The sequence below is a fragment of the Homo sapiens genome, chromosome 5, assembly GCF_000001405.40.
Source record: "Homo sapiens chromosome 5, GRCh38.p14 Primary Assembly".
Lineage (NCBI taxonomy): Eukaryota > Metazoa > Chordata > Mammalia > Primates > Hominidae > Homo > Homo sapiens.
Window position 1 is genome coordinate 94210159 of NC_000005.10, and position 18775 is coordinate 94228933.

The following is an 18775-nucleotide window of genomic DNA, read 5'->3' on the forward strand; positions in this document are numbered from 1 at the left end:
TCTTGGCCAGTAAAAACACGTAGGGAAGGCAAATTAATTGGCTGTTTTGCGCCAGTGATTAGAACATTACACTGAAGTCTGCAGCAGAAACTGGTATTAGGCAAGCAAGATTAGGTCGGTTCTGACTTTTATTTGCTTAGTGCAACATGATTAGCAACTGCTTCATTCAAGGCTAGTGCACTTGCTGCTGCAGAAGAAAATCCTTATAACATAATGATGCTGCATACCTTTAAGCTGATAAGCATGTTCCAGGCAAAAATCAAAATCTCTTTGGGAAGGAAGCAAATGAGGAAATGTAACAGTGAACTCATCAAATGGCTTTAGAGTCATTCTTATGTCTGGCACTTTTGAAAATTATATTCTTAGGAAACCGGCTCTGCAAGCTATATTTGCAGAATATAGAGGTGGTAATTGTGTCAGTTCAGGAGACAAAGAATAAAAGGACCCAAGGAGCAATAAGAAGTAGAAGGTTACACCTTTCAATGAACTAACTAAAAATGAGCTTGCTTTAAAAGAAACAGAAAATTCTTTTTTTACAAACTACAGAAAGAGCTAGAAGAGCAAAAGATACAATGGCATCAAGTCAGACCTCATAATTAAATACAGAGATGCAATAGATCAAAGAAGAAACTGTATTAAAAAATTAGGTCTAGGGTGTGGATTTAGTTTCCTTGTTAACAGCTTTGCCTGGAGTATAATGACACGAGGCTTTATCTAACAGAATAATAAACAAAGATGTAGTGTACAAGTAAAAGAATGCCTGACACTTTAATTATTTTAAACATGATAGTGTTTTAGATTTTGGCCATGTCTCCAAAACTAAGCAATTTTTATTATTGCCCCATCTTGTCTACCACTACCCAGGAATAAGAGAGACAAAAATACTATCAACAAAGATCAAAATCTGAGTTCCTGGCTTATATTTTCTCTGGCCTTCTCAGTGGATTATTTTTCCAACTCTTTGTCTGTTCTTTAGTCCAGAGATGTCTCAAGAATACAACTAAAACTTAAAATGATATACAGTTTAGAAACACTATTAGTGTAGTTTCATGTTCATTTAATTTAGCTTGGGTTTCACCTGTGCCACAAAGAATGACACCTTTAGTTTAAGAACACTAAACTGCCCCTTCTTGGTACCAATAACTCAGATGCATGGAAGTTTCTCCACATGTTATAGACATTTTGGTTTACAAACTCTTTGTGGTTTTATTCCTCTCCCCTTCAAATGAGTGACTATCTTCTGGTGTTTAGAAACATAGGGTTATTAGGCTCCCAAGTCACCCCTTTGGTATCTGGATTAGGGTCTCATGTTATCACGCTGATTCCTTCCTTCACATGGTCAGTGTTCCTTGCTCTAGGAAGCCTTCCCTGAACAAGGCCTTATTTGCCCCCATCCTGGACTGTATTTCCAGCTTCCTCTATTAAAACACGCTAGATCTTTTACTTCTCCTTCTCATTCTTGTCTTGGATTATTAAAGTAAGATCTATCTTCCGTATACTTTGTCCACTATCTTGAGTCCTACCTGTAACTCATTTTTTCTCTTATCTGTGTATTTTGCCCTTTTTTTGTAGTTTGCAGACCCTGTTCCCTACTGGATGTTATCTGCATCTGATCATATTGGATCCAAGTGAACATTCTTCATTTTATTTAACTCCAGGATCATCATATTTTCTTACAGAGCATATCCCTAACTATGTTCTCAGATATAACTAGGTATTTTATATATACGTACATGAATACAAATTGATGCCTTTTAGAAATTATGTGCCCATACCTGAATAAACACTGGCAAGTTAAGTGAGAGATTATCTGATATATATGAATACACGATGTTACTCTTCATTAATACATAGGTGGAATTTGCTAGCCAATGGCTGCCTTAATCTATGCTATTTATTCAATGATTGCTATTAATAGTAAAATTATTGTATGATTTCAACATATACTTGTGATACTTAGTACTTATTAGATAGTAAGGATTTATACGATAAACATTTGTCCCCCATGGATTTGTGCCTGAAAGAAGAAATATTTTAAACGCAAAGTAATCTTGTGTTTCTCAAACTTTTCCCAAACAAATAAGCAAAACGATCGAATTCTTCAAAGTGAAAATAAACACTCTTGTTTCATACAGTTTTGTTTATATATTGCCCATAATCAGATTTATGGAAAATGTTCAATGTCAAGACTGGAAAATAGCGTCTTACACAGCCACTGTATCAAGGTTTTACAACATACATGTAAACATTTAGGAGACAACTTCATCAAGAAACGTGAAGAGTCTGAGATTTTTCCCTTGCTTTTAAGCTAACGAGATAGCCTGCTAAGGTTTCATAAATGCTAGCAGGAGACATGAGGCTATTAGGAGACAGGCAAAGACCTTAATTACTCATGGGACTATGGGCAACATAAGCTCCACATTTACACGGGATACCCTTGGTCACCCCACTCCCAAGTCTCACAGGAGGAATACAGAGTGGCCCAAGTGGATGCTGCATGTATAGTGAATTTGTGTCATAGCTAAGGAACCTCAGTTTGGGAAATCCAATCTTATTAGGGGGCTGCTAGCAAACCAGCCCAACCTTTGCCCAGGAAGGAGTCATTATCTTTATTATCCCAGTAGAGAAACAAATCTGCTTTCTACCCTGAGGGACTCACTATCTTGAGGCTGTCTGCTATGCAGAGCTCTTTGAACAGATAGTCTGGGACAAAAGCCATCACAAGACATGTAAAAATGCCATGGAGAACTACCACCTTAACAAAGTTTTAAATAATATGAATCATATTAATTATTAAGAATACTTATATGATCCAGATTACTGTATAAAATACATTATGTACATTATCTCATTTAATTCTATCAATAGCTCTATGAAATAGGTAATATCATCCCCATTTCATAGATAAGGAAATTGAGGCACTCTAAGATAAGTAACTTGACCAAAGACTTAGGATTGTAACCCCTGTTTGTTTGACTCTTGGGTGTTTCACAGGCTCTCTCCCCACAAAAGGATTTTTCTCTGGTGTTCTCCATCTCAATGAATGACAGCATTCATCTAGTGGCCATAGGAGAAATTTGGGCATCATGATTTTCCTTTTTCTCTGGTTTCATAAACCTCCAAGTCCTATTGATATTATCTACTATATAATAAATATCTCTTGAATGAGTCCTTTCTCTTGGTAATATAAGTTAGACTACCATTATCTCTGGCTAGAATGGCTGCAACAGTGACTTCCAAATTGGTATTGCAGTCTCCTATTCCACCCACCTAATACTACCTCTTTTAGCTAGAATCAGCTCTCTACAAAGCAATCTGATGACATTATTTTACTATCTAAAACCTTTCAATGATTCTCCATATATTTATCCTCAGGTTAAATATAAATTCCTTGAACAGCCCACAAAAGGCCTTTATGATGGGACCCAGACTCTCATCTTTTATCTACTTAGCCCTTCGACTTTGACTTCCCACCACAGACAACATTGTTTATGTCTGTGAAAGTCACATTCTTACTCACCTTGAGTGATACAGGTGCTGTTTTCCAGTTTGGAATATTATTTCCATCTTCACCTTCACATCTCTGCCCCTTCCCTCTAGCCTGGCCTGGCCAACTCCTATTAAGATGTCATTCCCACTGTGAAGTTTGCTGTTGCTCCTAATCTGCATGGAGTGCCCTTTCTCTTGTTCCAGGAAGCACCTGTACTTCTCTGATCATGGCACGTAACATGCTGGACTGTAACTGCTTTGTTATCTGTCCATGCACACTACTTTAGACTCCAGGATGATAGGAACTGTGTCTTATTTACCATTTTATTTAAAATGCCAAAGTACCTAGCACACATCACATTCACAATGATTTATTTTTATTTTCATTTTTTAGAGATGGAGTCTTGCTAGGTTGGCCAGCTGGTCTCAAACTCCTGGCGTCAAGGGATCCACCTGCATCAGCCTCCCAAAATGCTAGGATTACAGGCATGAACCACTGCACCCGGCCCTGGATAATTTTTTAATTAGTACATGGGTATATGCATAAATGAGTAAATGAGTAGACAGAAAATGTTTCCTATATTTTTCCCTGCAATTAGTGTGCTGCATGGAAAAGAGGATCTCTATAAAGATCATACCCTTCCTTCCTTTATCAAGTAATTGGACAAATATTCATTTTAAAGGAAATAAAAATAAAACCCTCAAAAAATAACCAAAAGGAACCCCTTTTAAATAGACTTATTCATTGAGGCAAACCAATGATATAAGAGAAGTTTCTTTTCATTTTACCCTTGTCTCACTTCCACATCCTCTCCTGATGGTAGCATCACCCTTCCCTTCCCCCAATACCTGAAGTGTTCGACTGACTTTAGTTGCTCTGAGCCCTCCACTCTAGTGGCCCCAGGGCTTGTACTCTCTGGGAAACTCCTCGGTCCTGGGCCATCTTTATTCTTGCCTCAATCAAACCAAATTTCTTCCTACCCTCCTTGTAAATATAACCCTGTCTGATGTCTTCATGGCTCCTAGTGGCTTAAGAAATTATTTTAGCATTTTAGAAGTTAAAATGCCTCAATTCAATTGAAAGGCAGAGAATAATAAGTACTTGAGTAACTGTGACCAGTTACTGAGCTTTAAGACACCCTTCAAATCATATTGCCCAGGCAAACTCTTTTCTCTACGTTCATGTGAGGGCCTAGCCTGAGTTTTGAGGAAAAAACAACCAACAAACAAACAACAAAACAAAATAAGAAAAAATAGACAACACTGAAATATTTTGAATTATACACATGAAATGCAACATTTGGTCAAGATGAGGATAATCTAAATCAAAATATTAAAGTGACATTAACTTGCTTCCTATTCATATTCATTAATGAAATACAGCAGCCAAGTTTTTTTAAAGACAAGAGAAGAAAAGTGAAAGTTTCAGAGGGGTGGCTTTGGAAGTTGCCAGAAAGTGCCAGGTGACAAGTGTTCAGGGGATCAGACAACAAGATGGAATGATGGTCAAGGAAAAGGAAAAGAAGGCTCAAAAAATGGCAATCAAGAGAAGATAAAGGCAGAGTGGAAAATAAATCTGAATCTATTACTAAAGGAAAGCAGAAGCTAATGAAAGTAGTAAAAATAAAAGATGGACCAAGTGTGCATAATGCAGAAATGTCCATCTGGCAGGTACGTTGCACATAGGCCAGAGGAGAAACCAACATGAGAAACACATCAGGGCAAAGAAAAGGCCAATGGGTGGGAATGGAGAAAAGGGATTCAACAGAACAAAGATTTGGCCTTAGGCTTAGTGTGGGAGTTGTGAAGAGTTAAAAATATTTTTTTCAAATTGATAAATTCAAATATTGACAAACAATGTAGAAATATGGTTTTGTTTGGAGATAAATATGAGGTGAAGATGGAAAGAAAGATTGAGGAATAGAAGTCTGTTCTCTTTTATTACTGAAAATCTCATTTGCCTAAGTAGTCTACTTGCTTTCTGTATTTCTCTCTTCCCCTTTTCCCTTTTTAATCTTAATCTAACTTGGCCTCGCTGGGACTTAAACTGGTGAATGGTTCTTCTTTCCTGAAAAACTTTCCTCCCTTGATTCCTCGCACTCTTCTCTCCTGGTTGCCCTCCTACTCTTAGCTCCTCCTCCATCTGTCTCTAGCCCTCTCCTCTTAACACTACAAACCCATCCTTGGCCATCTCATAACCTTGCATCTCGTAAACCCCTAAGCATCCCTGAGGACTCTCATGACCAGACTTCCCTGATAAGCTCCGAATCCATATTTGTTATTCTAGACAATTTCACCACGATGAACTCCTGGCACTTCAGATTCAGTGTTCATACTAGTACTTATTATCTCACTGCCCCACTTCCTCTTCCTGATGATCCCATGCCGGGTTCCTCTACCATGATTTTGGTGTGTCTAGGGAAGATAAGCCAACTCATCCCATAAAAAAGAGGCTCTCCCAACATGCTTTCTTTAGGCTGGTACAACACCCCCAACACATCACCTTAACATTATTATTAGTTTGGAATTATAGATTAGCCAGTTTATTTGGCCCTAAGTAAGTATTGGTTCTCTCCAATTGGAGGGAGAAGAAAGCAGGGTAAGAATATGGTAAAGCAGTGTTCAAGGAAGATCACTGTGGAAGTAAATGGAAGGGATTTGGCCTGAATCTGAAAATTCTGTCTGGGACTCTTTAGGGGTGAAGGGAGTAGTAGTGGGAATAGAGATGAGAAACGTTTGTACTTTGAGAGAAACATTGTTGGAAGCCTGTTCCATTCAGATGGAATGGAAGGTAGGTTTAATTGCTGCCATTGGGCTTTTTTACCTGATTTTTAACAGGAGGAATCCAGGAGGAATAAAGTGATTAGCCTGTGATAAGAGGGGACAAAAGGCAATGATTACCTAGTCCTGGGGGACCCAGGGCTCCCGTTCATACTAAAGGGCTTGGTCTATCCTGAACAGGTTAACATCAACACCACTAGGACTATATTTAGGGAGGAGAGCCATTTTTCTCCGTCTTCTCACTTCCCCCACATAGAAAAGATTCACAAGAATTGTCTCTAAGAACTTCTCAATGCAGGAGTATTAGACTAGACAAGCCACAAAGGAACAGGAAATAGCTTCCTAATTTTTTTTCACATTTCTGATTCTCTACTGTTGCCCTTTATTTGGTGATAGTTTAGGAGAACTGAAAAGTACAGAAACAGATTAGATGAAAATCCATATTTAATCCTCCAGTTGTCAAATTTCCATGAATCTATGTTAATTAAATAACTTGAATCAGGCCCTCATTTACACATTTACTCCTTAATTATTGTGATTATCTTGACTTTAAAATTCTGCATCAACTGGAAATGAGTCCCATAAAACAAAAAATATTATGACATATCCATGTTGACATAAGAGGAAAATATGAACATTTCAAAGGATTTTTTTCTCTTTTACTATGTATACATGTAGGAGTTGAGTATGAAGCAACTATTCAAACATTTGAGAACTCAAATATCTTGATAACCAAAGGAAGCATTTAAAATTTAAATTATTCATGTCCTTTAATTTTCTATCTGGTGTGTGTAGATACCATTTTAAAATGACTTACGTATCATTTAAAAAAACTTTCCTTAAAATAGAAATAAATAGCATAGTGAAAAAACTTAGCAAGAGAGTAAAAGGCTTTTACTCATACAGATAAACATTTTCAGTGGTATCTGATTTCACATCTTTTGCTTCCATTACAGCTGAGCAGAGCCCCATAAATGAGAAGCCACGAAGACTGAGGTTACACAGTGATCCACAGTTGCCACAAAACTGAGCAGTGAGTGAAACCCTGGTGTCACACATGCTATTTACCATGATGGGCTGAACTCCTGGTCCACTGAGCAGCATATTTAGTTATACATACCCATACTGTAGGTAGCCCTATATTTTGAAATGACAGTCTTGATTTAAATTTTGCTTTCTGAAAATGTACTTCAAAGATAGAGAATTATTAGACCAGGGCAGAGAAGATAGAAGTATAGTCCAGGAAGAATACTTTTGCTATTCATGTATTTAGATATCAGTGTTTTTTTAAAAAGGGACACACAAATAATATTATAGAGATTTAAGGTGTCAGTAGTGAGAACATAAGAACTATTTGGGACTGAGAAGTATATAATACTAAGGGATTGTGTGAATAATACTTAGATTCACTTATAAGGCAATACGTTTTTTTAACAAAACAAGAAGGTGGGAATGCTGCAAACGTCTCAATGTTGGGCATTCTTATAACTCTTGGGTATGTTGCCCAATAGTATTACAATCATAAAGCTCATTGAGTCAAGGTAATGAAATTCAGGGAACATTGAATATATGCAATGTTTGTTTACAAAATCATCATGTGGTAGAATAACAATAAAACACAAACACGTAGGTATTCTAAAAATGAAATACCATTAGTAACTCCAAAGTTAGTAAAGGGTGTGGGCTTACCATGAAAGCCATATAATTATATTTCTCAGTTTCACATCAAAAAGCAAATATTGGAGCAATAATGACACTCCTTAGAAATTACTTGAATGAATGCTTCTGGAATCCTGAACTTCTTATAGTTTCCCGAGCTCAAATGCTGTTTCATACCTTTTTCTCATGCTTTTCTTCCCTGTGCCTTGAACACCTTTGCTTCTGTTTTTTACCTAATTCCTTCTTGTCCATCTAGACTGAGTTCTAACCATTTTGTTTTTGGAAAGTCTTGACTGACTTCACAGGCTGGGTTAGGGATGCCTCTCCATCCAAAAGCATTCCAAGCATATTTCCAATAACCATGATAGTTCAAAGGATTTGCCCCACTGTAAGTGATGTGAGGGCAAAGAATGTGTATACCTTTTTATCTTTTATTTCCCTGCTTTGGAACAGTGTTTGTCACTTAGTGGGTATCCAAGGAATGACTGTTGAACTAAACCAAACTGCAGTAGCAAACATTCCAGAACTGTGAGGAAAAGGGAGATTGCCAACATACCACAGAGTTGATTTCATGCTATGATTAAATTGGAGTGCCTTGTCCATGAACTTACTCCATGTGTCCTGCCTCTACCCTCTAATTTATGCTCCTTCCTCCTCACTGCATATTTCTTCCCAATGTCACCTGCTAACATCCTACTTATCTGCTTCCAGATCTCCATCAAATTTCTTGTTCTCCATGAATGTATTTTCCAACTGGATATTACTCCTCTGCCCTTAACCCACAGATTTTTGTTGTTGTTGTTGTTCCTTCCTATGACATTTACCTTATTCAGCTTTGGGGTCTTATTTATGTGCTTATCTCGTCTCTATCTTTGTGCTTTTGCACTGGTTATCACTAAGCTTTATGTATATTAGATACTCCATAAGTAGCTCATAAAGGTCCCCAAACTTTTTGGCACTAGAGACTGGTTTTGTAGAAGACAATTTTTCCACAGATGGGGGCGGGGAGAAGAGACAGTTTTGGAATGATTAAAGCGCATTACATTTATTGGCACTTTATTTCTATTATTATTACATTGTAATATATAATGTATATACATGTATATATTATTACGTGTAATATATACAGTGACAGATCATCAGATATTAGATTCTCATAGGGAGTGTGCAATCTAGATCCCTCGCATGCACAGTTAACAACAGAGTTCACGTTCCTATGATAATCTAATGTTGCCGCTGATCTGAGAGGAGGTGGAGCTCAGGTTCACTCACTTGCCCACCACTCACCTCCTGCTGTGTGGCCTGGTCCCCAAGAGCCCATGGACCAGTACCATCTGTGGCCTGGGGGTTGGAGACCCCTGAGCTATATGAACAGATTATAAAAATATATCCCATGTCACAATATTTAAATACAGTTACGTACTGCTTAACAATGAGGATACAATCTAAGAAATGCATTGATAGGCAACTTCATCATTGAACATCATATAGAGTGGACCTACACAAACCTAGGTGGTAGAGCCTACTACATACCTATATAGTATAGTGTATTGCTCCTAGGCTACAAACCTGCACAGCAAGTTACTGTATTGGAATACTGTAGGTCATTGTAACACACTGGTAATTGTGTGTCTAAACATAACTATATATAGAAAAGGAGTAAAAATATCATATGAAAGATAATGGTGCACCTTTATAGGGCACTTACCATGAATAGGGCTTGCAGGACTAGAAGTTGCACTGGTGAGCCAGTGAGTGAGTGGTGAATGAATGTGATGGCCTAGGATGTTACTGTACACTACTGTAGAACTTATAAACACTCCACACTTAGGCTACACTAAATTTATAAAAACTATTTTTTCTTCAATAATAAATTAACCTTAGCTTACTGTAGTTCTTTACCTTTATAAATGTTGACATTTTTAAACTTTTGACTCTTGTAATAACATTTAGCTTAAAACACAAATACATTGTATAGCTGTGCAAAAAATTCTTTCTCCATATCCTTATTCTATAAGCTTTTTTCCTATTTTAAAAACATTTTATTTTTTACTTCTGAAATTTTTTTTGTTAAAAACTAAGACTGAAACACACACATTATCTGAAGCCAACACAGGGTCAGAGTCATCAATATCACTGTCTTCCACTTCTACATCTTATCCCACTGGAAGTTCTTCTGGGGCAATAACACACATGGGGCTGTCATCTCTCATGACAATTCTGCCTTCTACAGTATCTCCTGAAGGATCCACCTAAGGCTGTTTTACAGTTAACATTTTTTTTTTAATAAGTAGGAGTACACTATAACAATGAAAGTAGAGTGAAGGAAATATATAAACCAGTAACATAGTCATTTGTTAATATTGTCAAGCATTATTTACTATACATAATTTTATGTGCTATACTGCACTTTTATATGACTGGCAGCACACATTTGTTTATACCAGCATCAACACAAACATGTGAGTAAGGTGTTGCACTACCACTTTATGACAGCTATGATATCACTAGGCAATAGGAATTTTTCAGCTCCATTATAATCTTATGGATTATATAAACAGCATATATAAATGTATATGCTGTTAATTGTTTACTGAAACATCATTATGTGGCAAATGACTATATAGAGACAATTAACTAAACAAATCCTGTGAATCCTGATTCAGATTCCATTCACTAAGAATCTGTGATAACACTTGATCTGGTTCTTTTATACATTCCATGTACATGGTGAGCCAATTTAAGAGGATAAAGTGCACTACAGGTCTTAGACCTATTTTATTATGGGACTGAAAACTATTAATATTAACCTATTTTAACCATCACAGCAGACCTGGAAACATATATGCATTAGTATGACCTAGAGTTTAGACTCCTCAGTAACCACTGATTCATTTTTGTGATGTTTTACATGTCCCTTCAAATTTGATTGTTTCTCTAATTTTGTAATAGAAACATTCAAGCCAGGTTGTCAGAATTCTTATCATTCATTTTCTCTCTTCCGAGAGTATTAAGTGTTGCATTTCAGTTTCATCAAAAGAAGATGCTAGTCCTCCACAGACTACGAGGTGTGACCCTAAGAGTCCCTCTTTGTGGTCTCAGGGGTAGAGCCTGCCAGGATTTCAGAAGGAGCTGGAGGTTAGAGTAACCAGGAGCAGGAAGTGGCCAACTTTCATCCTTCTCTAGGAGTTGCCACTTGACAAGTCATTCCTATTTGATCCACAAAACTTTATAGACTCGAAGTAAATGATGTGTATTTCTACAGTGGCCTTGCAGATGGCTACAAGTTCCACCAAACCATGCCTGTGAAGATTACTTCTGTAAAATCAGACATGGCCAATATATGCACCCAGACCCTCCTTCAGCTGTCCAAGGTCAAGAGGTCCTCAGCCAAGATAATTACAAGATATGCTCTCCTGAGTCTGAGTCCTCACAGGAACCTGCTCCAAGAGGCAAGAATGAGGCGATGTTTTGTGAGGAGGTTCCTGAAAATCAAGGAGTAAGACCCAGAGGACAGGGGCAGTCTCTGCTCATTCTCCAGCCATGAGTCCACTCTGTCACAAACAGGCCTGAACTGATTTCCTCTGCTGCCTGAGCTTTCAAGATTTCAAGATCATGGAAAACCTAAGTAGTCTCTGGGAATGAGGCATCTATGTCCTTATTCTTTGATAAGTTCCTCCTGTTATTGGAGGAACAAATACAGAGGTCTCTGTCTTTATCTCCTTCCCCAAAGAACCTTGTCTTTTCTTTGGTGAAATCTATTTTCTCTCTCAGTAAGAATCTATGTAAGGTTTAGGAAGTTAAGATGTTTGTGGCTTGTTAGATACTGCATCAAGGCCCATTTTTTTCTCACCCACGCCTTTGCCCGTCTAGTTCCAGGCAAAACAGTGAAGTGCATAATTTTCCTCTATGATCTTACTTCTTCACTGTCATTTAGTAGTCTCCCTCCCTTTATCTCTCAGGGCACCCCTTGGCTACACAGGTCTACTTGTAATAAAATATTTCAGAGTTGAAAGGAACCTTAAAAATCACCGATTATAACCACTAAACAGCTTCTCCTGAAATCCTAGTCCAACTTGCCCATACTGAAAGCTAACTGTTTTATCTAATCAGATAAAAGAATCCATGCCAATAGCCTGTAAGAGAAGATTAAAGGAGATTCTTGGGCCTTTCTCTCCTCTCCCAGGCAACCAACATATATTTTAATTGCGATTCACTGGAGATAATGTTTCATTCAATATTTCAGGTAAGGAGAAAAGAAAAGAAGAGGAGAGAGGATGGTATAATGAAAGGATCAAGGAGTGCTGTTATTTTTTAAGCAAGTGAGACCATTTGTTTATTCTACACATAGGCTTTGACTCCATTTATTATTTTGAACAATCAAGAAAAACAGTTTTCTTGATGGTGGCAGAAGAGTGATATAGAAAAAGCTTTCTTGATGGTGGCAAAAGAGTGATGTAGAAAAAGAGCAAGGATTTAAGAAGCAAGAATGTTGTTTTCAAAATTGAAACCTAACCTAGAAAATCACATTTGTGACCAATGATCAGAATGTCACTATATATTTCTTTGCAAAGATACTCTCTTGCATAATTAGCTCTTAACAATCATAAAAGCAGGCATCTTTGAATTTATTTTTATATATGATGGTATATGAAAATAAGTTATGCTTTATTCGACCATATGCCAGATACTCCTCATTTCTAAATTGCAAATTATTTTTTGGTAAAAATCATATATATTAAAGCTACATTTTTATTGTATATATTTAAGATATACAATATGATGCTGTGATATACATTGTGATTACTATGTTAAGCAAATTAACATATCCATCAACTTGCACAGTTACCCTTTTGTATGTGTGGCAAGAGCATCTAAATTCTACTTTCTTAGCAAAAAATCCCAAATACAATACAATATTAACTGTAGTCCTCATGCTGTACTTAGATCTAGACTTGTTCATCCTACATAATTACAACTTTTTATCCTTGGACCTACATCTCCACATTGCCTCCCCAACTACCTCTTCCAAAAAATTACATTTTTGTCCAAACAATGCTTTACCTTTTTGTTGTTGCTGTTGCTTTTAACTTTCGAAAGTTAATTTCACATTTCATTTTTACCATGTTACAATCCTGTGAGATGGATGGTACTACTAATAAAGAAACAGCTAAAGAGGCACAATGAGACTTATCCAAGTTGCATAGTTAGTCAGGGACTAACTAGTTATCTGTGGTGCCATATCTGAGCACATGTCTCCTGGGTCCCATATCTGGGCTCCCTTTAGCCCAAAAGTATACCTCACGTAGACTATATACCTTTTTGTCAGCTCTCATTTCAGTCCTGATGATGGTCTTTGCAGAACAGAAACTAATTGCAAAGGAATCTGTTACCTGTTCTCATCAGTGTGCCACATATTCTTCCCCTACAGGAAACAGAAGCCACAAGTGCAACTGTGATGTTAATCACTTGACAAACGTTTTCCAAGTGACATGAATATATTAAACTCCACTTACAAACAGTGTTTTAAGTATTCCTATGATGTACAAATATGCTAAATCTATCGAAGGCTGTTCTGGTGATCCAGAAGGTGTTATAAAAGGAACAAAGGAAATGATATTTTCTCTTTTAGGAAGCATTAAAGATGTCTTCTTTAATAATTATTACAATAAAGATTCTCTAACTAACAACATATGCTAGGTAATAATTTTTGTCTTGTAGAAATATGAATGTTTTCTAATGGAAGACATTTAACATGCCTTAGTTAAAGATTAATTCAAAGAAAAGCCCTCTTTGGGATTCATCGCAACATCTATAAGGTGGCATTATTTTTCCAATATTCTTTTACTCTATCCTCTGCATTTGAAAGAGCGTATGTCCAACCTATAATTATTTTCTGCTAATTAGAGTAATTCATGGTTAATTATTCAAAATGATTTCTCTTCAAAATCAACTCCATTTCTTTTTCTTTTCTTTTCTCTTTCTTTTTCTTTTCTTTTTTTTTTTTTTTTTTTTTTTTTTTTTGAGAAAGAGTCTCGCTCTGTCACCCAGGCTAGAGTGCAGTGGCACAATCTCGGCTCACTACAACCTCCACCTCTGGGGTTGAAGTGATTATTCTCCTGCTTCAGCCTCCTGAGTAGCTGGGATTACAGCCGCCCACCACCATGCCCAGCTAATTTTTATATTTTTAATAAAGACTGGTTTCGCCATGTCAGCCAGGCTGGTCTCGAACTCCTGACCTCAGGTGATCAGCCCATCTCGGCCTCCCAAAGTGCTGGGATTACAGGTGTGAGCCATTGTCCCTTGCCCATCAACTGCATTTCTTGCCATGACATTAAAAAAAGATACAAATAAAATATTATCAGAATGAAAATTTCTATCAGAGGAGAATATACTTTTTACTTTCTTTAAATAGCACTAAAATCTTTCTTCACTAGGAACGGTCCTATGAATTCCTACTTCAATTCATTTGGACTAGAGAAGGGCAAACTGAATCATGAGGTGATGACTATAAATGTTTTTGATAATTAAGGATTCGTTGTATATATAGGAGTAAGTAATTTTACTATTAATATATTCTTAAAGAAGAGTTATAAAGCAGTAAGACTTAACAATGGCTAAGGGCTAACAGTAAACACAGTAGCTTGGGACCCTGGATGTCTGAAGATGTACTCTGAGTAGACAGTGTCTCTTTGTAGGCTCTCATTTGGGTTCTGCTGATGGCTGAATCTCCCTTTTTGTCCTAATCTTGATCCCTCTTTTCAAAAAGCAGCTTCTTTCTTCTTTTATCTGCCTAGGAAAGTCCTGAGCCTTCATCTGTCTCTAAATTAAGAACATGTTTGCCTGCATCCTGCCACTTTCCCCATTCTGACCTCACTTATCTCTCCACTTTGTTCTATTCTGATTGTCATAAGAGACCAAACTGTCCCTCCTAAGAGGCTGAGGTGCTCCTGTGCCTAAATTTGTCTTAAGTAATAGCCTCAATATGAATCTGCTCTGCATAGCCAAATTTTCTACATACGTTTATTGAGTACCTTCAGTGTGCAAGACCTTAAGTTATATAATCTCCTAAAATGAAGTAAGTTGAAATGCCAACTGTGTGTGACACAAGGAGTTCCATTACATTAAAATGAACAGAGGAGAATAAAGTTATCGAAGCATAAATTTAAGAGTAAAAAAAGAATTATTAAATTAGAAATGACATCTACTTCTAGATTGAGAAGACAAAGGAGAAGATTATAACTCTTGGAAATATTGAAATTATTGCTAAAATAAACTACTTCTGGTTTGACCAGGACTTTTCAACTTAGTTTATTTGCTTTTCCCCCTGTTATGGACTAAATGTTTGTGTCACTGCAAAATTCATATGCTGAAGTCCTAACGCCAACGTAATGGTTAGGAGGTGGGGCCTTTTGGAATTAATTATTCATAAAGTTGGAGCCCTCATGAAGGGGATTAGTGCCCTAATAAGAAGAAAGATGAGTTTGCTGTCTCTGCTCTGCTTTCTACTATATAAGGATACAAAGAGATGCCAGCCATCTGCAATCCAGGAAGTTGGCTCTTAGCAGGCACTTGATCTGCTGACACCTTGATCTTGGACTTGCCAGCCTCCTGAGCTGTGAGAATAGCTGTTTATTGTTTAAGCCACCCAACTATGGTAATTTGTTGTAGCTGCCTGAACTAACTAAGACATTCTCCCAGTGGGAATACAGCTCAACATTTCTAACAAAAATTGGTTTTAAAATCCCTTCCTTACACCTTATACAAAACTTAACTCAAGATGGATTAAAGACTTAAATGTAAGACCTAAAACCATAAAAACCCTAGAAGAAATCCTAGGCAATACCATTCAGGACATAGGCAGGGCAAAGACTTCATGACTAAAACACCAAAAGCAATGGCAACAAAAGCCAAAACTGACAAATGGGATCTAATTAAACTAAAGAGCTTCTGCACAGCAAAAGAAACTATCATCAGAGTGAACAGGCAACCTACAGAATGGGAGAAAAGTTTTGCCATCTACCCATCTGACAAAGGGCTAATATCCAGAATCTACAAAGAACTTAAACAAATTTACAAGAACAAAACAAAACAGCCCCATCAAAAAGTGGGTAAAGGATATGAACAGACACTTCTCAAAAGAAGACATTTATGCAGCCAACAGACATATGAAAAAATGCTCATCATCACTGGTCATCAGAGAAATGCAAATCAAAACCACAATGAGATACCATCTCATGCCAGTTAGAATGGCTATCACTAAAAAGTCAGGAAACAACAGGTGCTGGAGAGGATGTGGAGGAATAGGAACACTTTTACACTGTTGGTGGGAGTGTAAATTAGTTCAACCATTGTGGAAGACAGTGTGGTGATTCCTCAAGGATCTGAAACTAGAAATACCATTTGACCCAGCAATCCCATAAACTGAGTATATACCCATAGGATTATAAATCATGCTGCTATAAAGACATATGCACAAATATGTTTATTGTGGGACTATTCACAATATCAAAGACTTGGAACCAACCCAAATGTCCATCAATGATAGAGTGGATTAAGAAAATACGGAACATAATATCCAGAATCTACAATGAACTCAAACAAATTTACAAGAAAAAAACAAACAACCCCATCAAAAAGTGGGCAAAGGACATGAACAGACACTTCTCAAAAGAAGACATTTATGCAGCCAAAAAACACATGAAAAAATGCTCACCATCACTGGCCATCAGAGAAATGCAAATCAAAACCACAATGAGATACCATCTCACGCCAGTTAGAATGGCAATCATTAAAAAGTCAGGAAACAACAGGTGCTGGAGAGGAGGTGGAGGAATAGGAACACTTTTACATTGTTGGTGGGACTGTAAACTAGTTCAACCCTTGTGGAAGTCAGTGTGGCGATTCCTCAGGGATCCAGAACTAGAAATACCATTTGACCCAGCCATCCCATTACTGGGTATATACCCAAAGGACTATAAATCATGCTGCTATAAAGACACATGCACACGTATGTTTATTGCTGCACTATTCACAATAGCAAAGATTTGGAACCAACCCAAATGTCCAACAATGATAGACTGGATCAAGAAAATGTGGCACATATACACCATGGAATATTATGCAGCCATAAAAAATGATGAGTTCATGTCCTTTGTAGGGACATGGATGAAATTGGAAATCATCATTCTCAGTAAACTATCGCAAGAACAAAAAACCAAACACCGCATATTCTCACTCATAGGTGGGAATTGAACAATGAGAACACATGGACACAGGAAGGGGAATATCACACTCTGGGGACTGTTGTGGGGTGGGGGAAGTGGGGAGGGATAGCTTTAGGAGATATACTTAATGCTAAATGACGAGTTAATGGGTGCAGCACACCAGCATGGCACATGTATACATATGTAACTAACCTGCACATTGTGCACATGTACCCTAAAACTTAAAGGATAATAATAATAAAATAAAATAAAAAAGAAAATGTACAGTCAGGAAAATTAAAAAAAAAAGAAAATATGGCGCAAATACACCATGGGATACTACGCAGCCATAAAAAAGATGAGTTCATGTCCTTTGCAGGGACATGGATGAAGCTGGAAACCATCATTCTCTGCAAACTGTCACAAGGACAGAAAACCAAACACTGCATGTTCTCACTCATAGGTGGGAGTTGAACAATGAGAACACATGGACACAGGGCGGGGAACATCACACACTGTGACCTGTCTCGGGGGTTGAGGGCTGGGAGAGGGATAACATTAGGAGAAATGCCTACTGTAAGTGATGGGTGCAGCAAACCAACATGGCACATGTATACCTGTGTAACAAACCTGCATGTTGTGCACATGTACCCTAGAACTTAATGTATAATAATAAAAAAAAATTTTAAGTTTTTCAACATTTAGATTTTCACAGTAACTGTGAGAGAAACTAGAAGAAAAAAAGGATCTAGTTAAATGTGTCTTAGTCCATCCATGAAATAAACCTTTATTCTTTTCTGATTTGAGGAATATGTAAATTCTACTGGCTATTTTTGAGACTTTGACATCAGGATTTCATTTCAATGCTATCATCTCTTGCTTTTTTGGTAACTTAGAGTACTTTGAATTAAGTTTTATTAGAATAATACATACACATAGCTTTAAAAGCCTAAATAATACATAATGGAAAATATGTCATTTTCTCACCCTTCCCCACACCTCAACGGCAACAAGTATGCAGAAAGATCTGTTTCTTCTGATATTTACCTCCATTTTTCTAAATAGTCTTCTAATATTTCTGTCTCTTGACTCATCAATTTTAGATATTGATTATTTGCCATAGTGTAGCCACTTACAACCATGAGGGGAAGACACCTCAGTATTACCAAGGACTCAGGCTTCCTCCCACCTCCTGTTCCTCCATTCTTAGTGTATGGGTCTTAGCTCCATGGTCATGATTAGCTGCTTTTCCAGAAGCTCTGCTCAGCAGGTTCTACCCACATCTCACTGGCCAGAACTAAGTCACATGACCACATCTAGACACAATGGAGTTTGGAAAAATCAGCAATTCAGGTTTCCAGTCCCTACGCCAAAGAACTCAAAGGAAAAGAGGATTGTGAATGGCTTTTAGGTATCAGTCCACTGTCTGCCACAGTAACCATCCATGAGTTTTTCAAATGCTCTCAGTAGATCCATTAAAAGCCTATCATATTTTCTGAGTGTTTCAGTACATCAACAAATATATCAGAATGCTTTTCAACATGTTCTGTGTCATGGCACAGATTGAAAATAATATTTTTATGGTTCTTTGTGAGAAATGGGAGGAGAGTATTAAAGGCTTGAGGCCACTGGCCTGGGAC

General features: G+C 37.3%; 1 protein-coding gene and 1 long non-coding RNA gene across 7 annotated transcripts in view; one reads left to right on the forward strand and one right to left on the reverse strand.

Annotated features, from left to right (window-relative positions):
- The window catches only part of LOC105379087 (uncharacterized), a 140268-nt gene that overhangs the window by 98567 nt on the left and 22926 nt on the right, over positions 1-18775 (forward strand). For all 4 annotated transcript variants that reach the window (XR_001742443.2, XR_001742441.2, XR_948581.3 and 1 more), the window contains one exon: positions 7227-7303. This is a non-coding gene — a long non-coding RNA (uncharacterized LOC105379087). The remainder of the gene's footprint in view (positions 1-7226; positions 7304-18775) is intronic.
- KIAA0825 overlaps positions 1-18775 on the reverse strand; it is a 467754-nt gene that overhangs the window by 59308 nt on the left and 389671 nt on the right. The gene's annotated exons all lie outside the window — the stretch shown is intronic.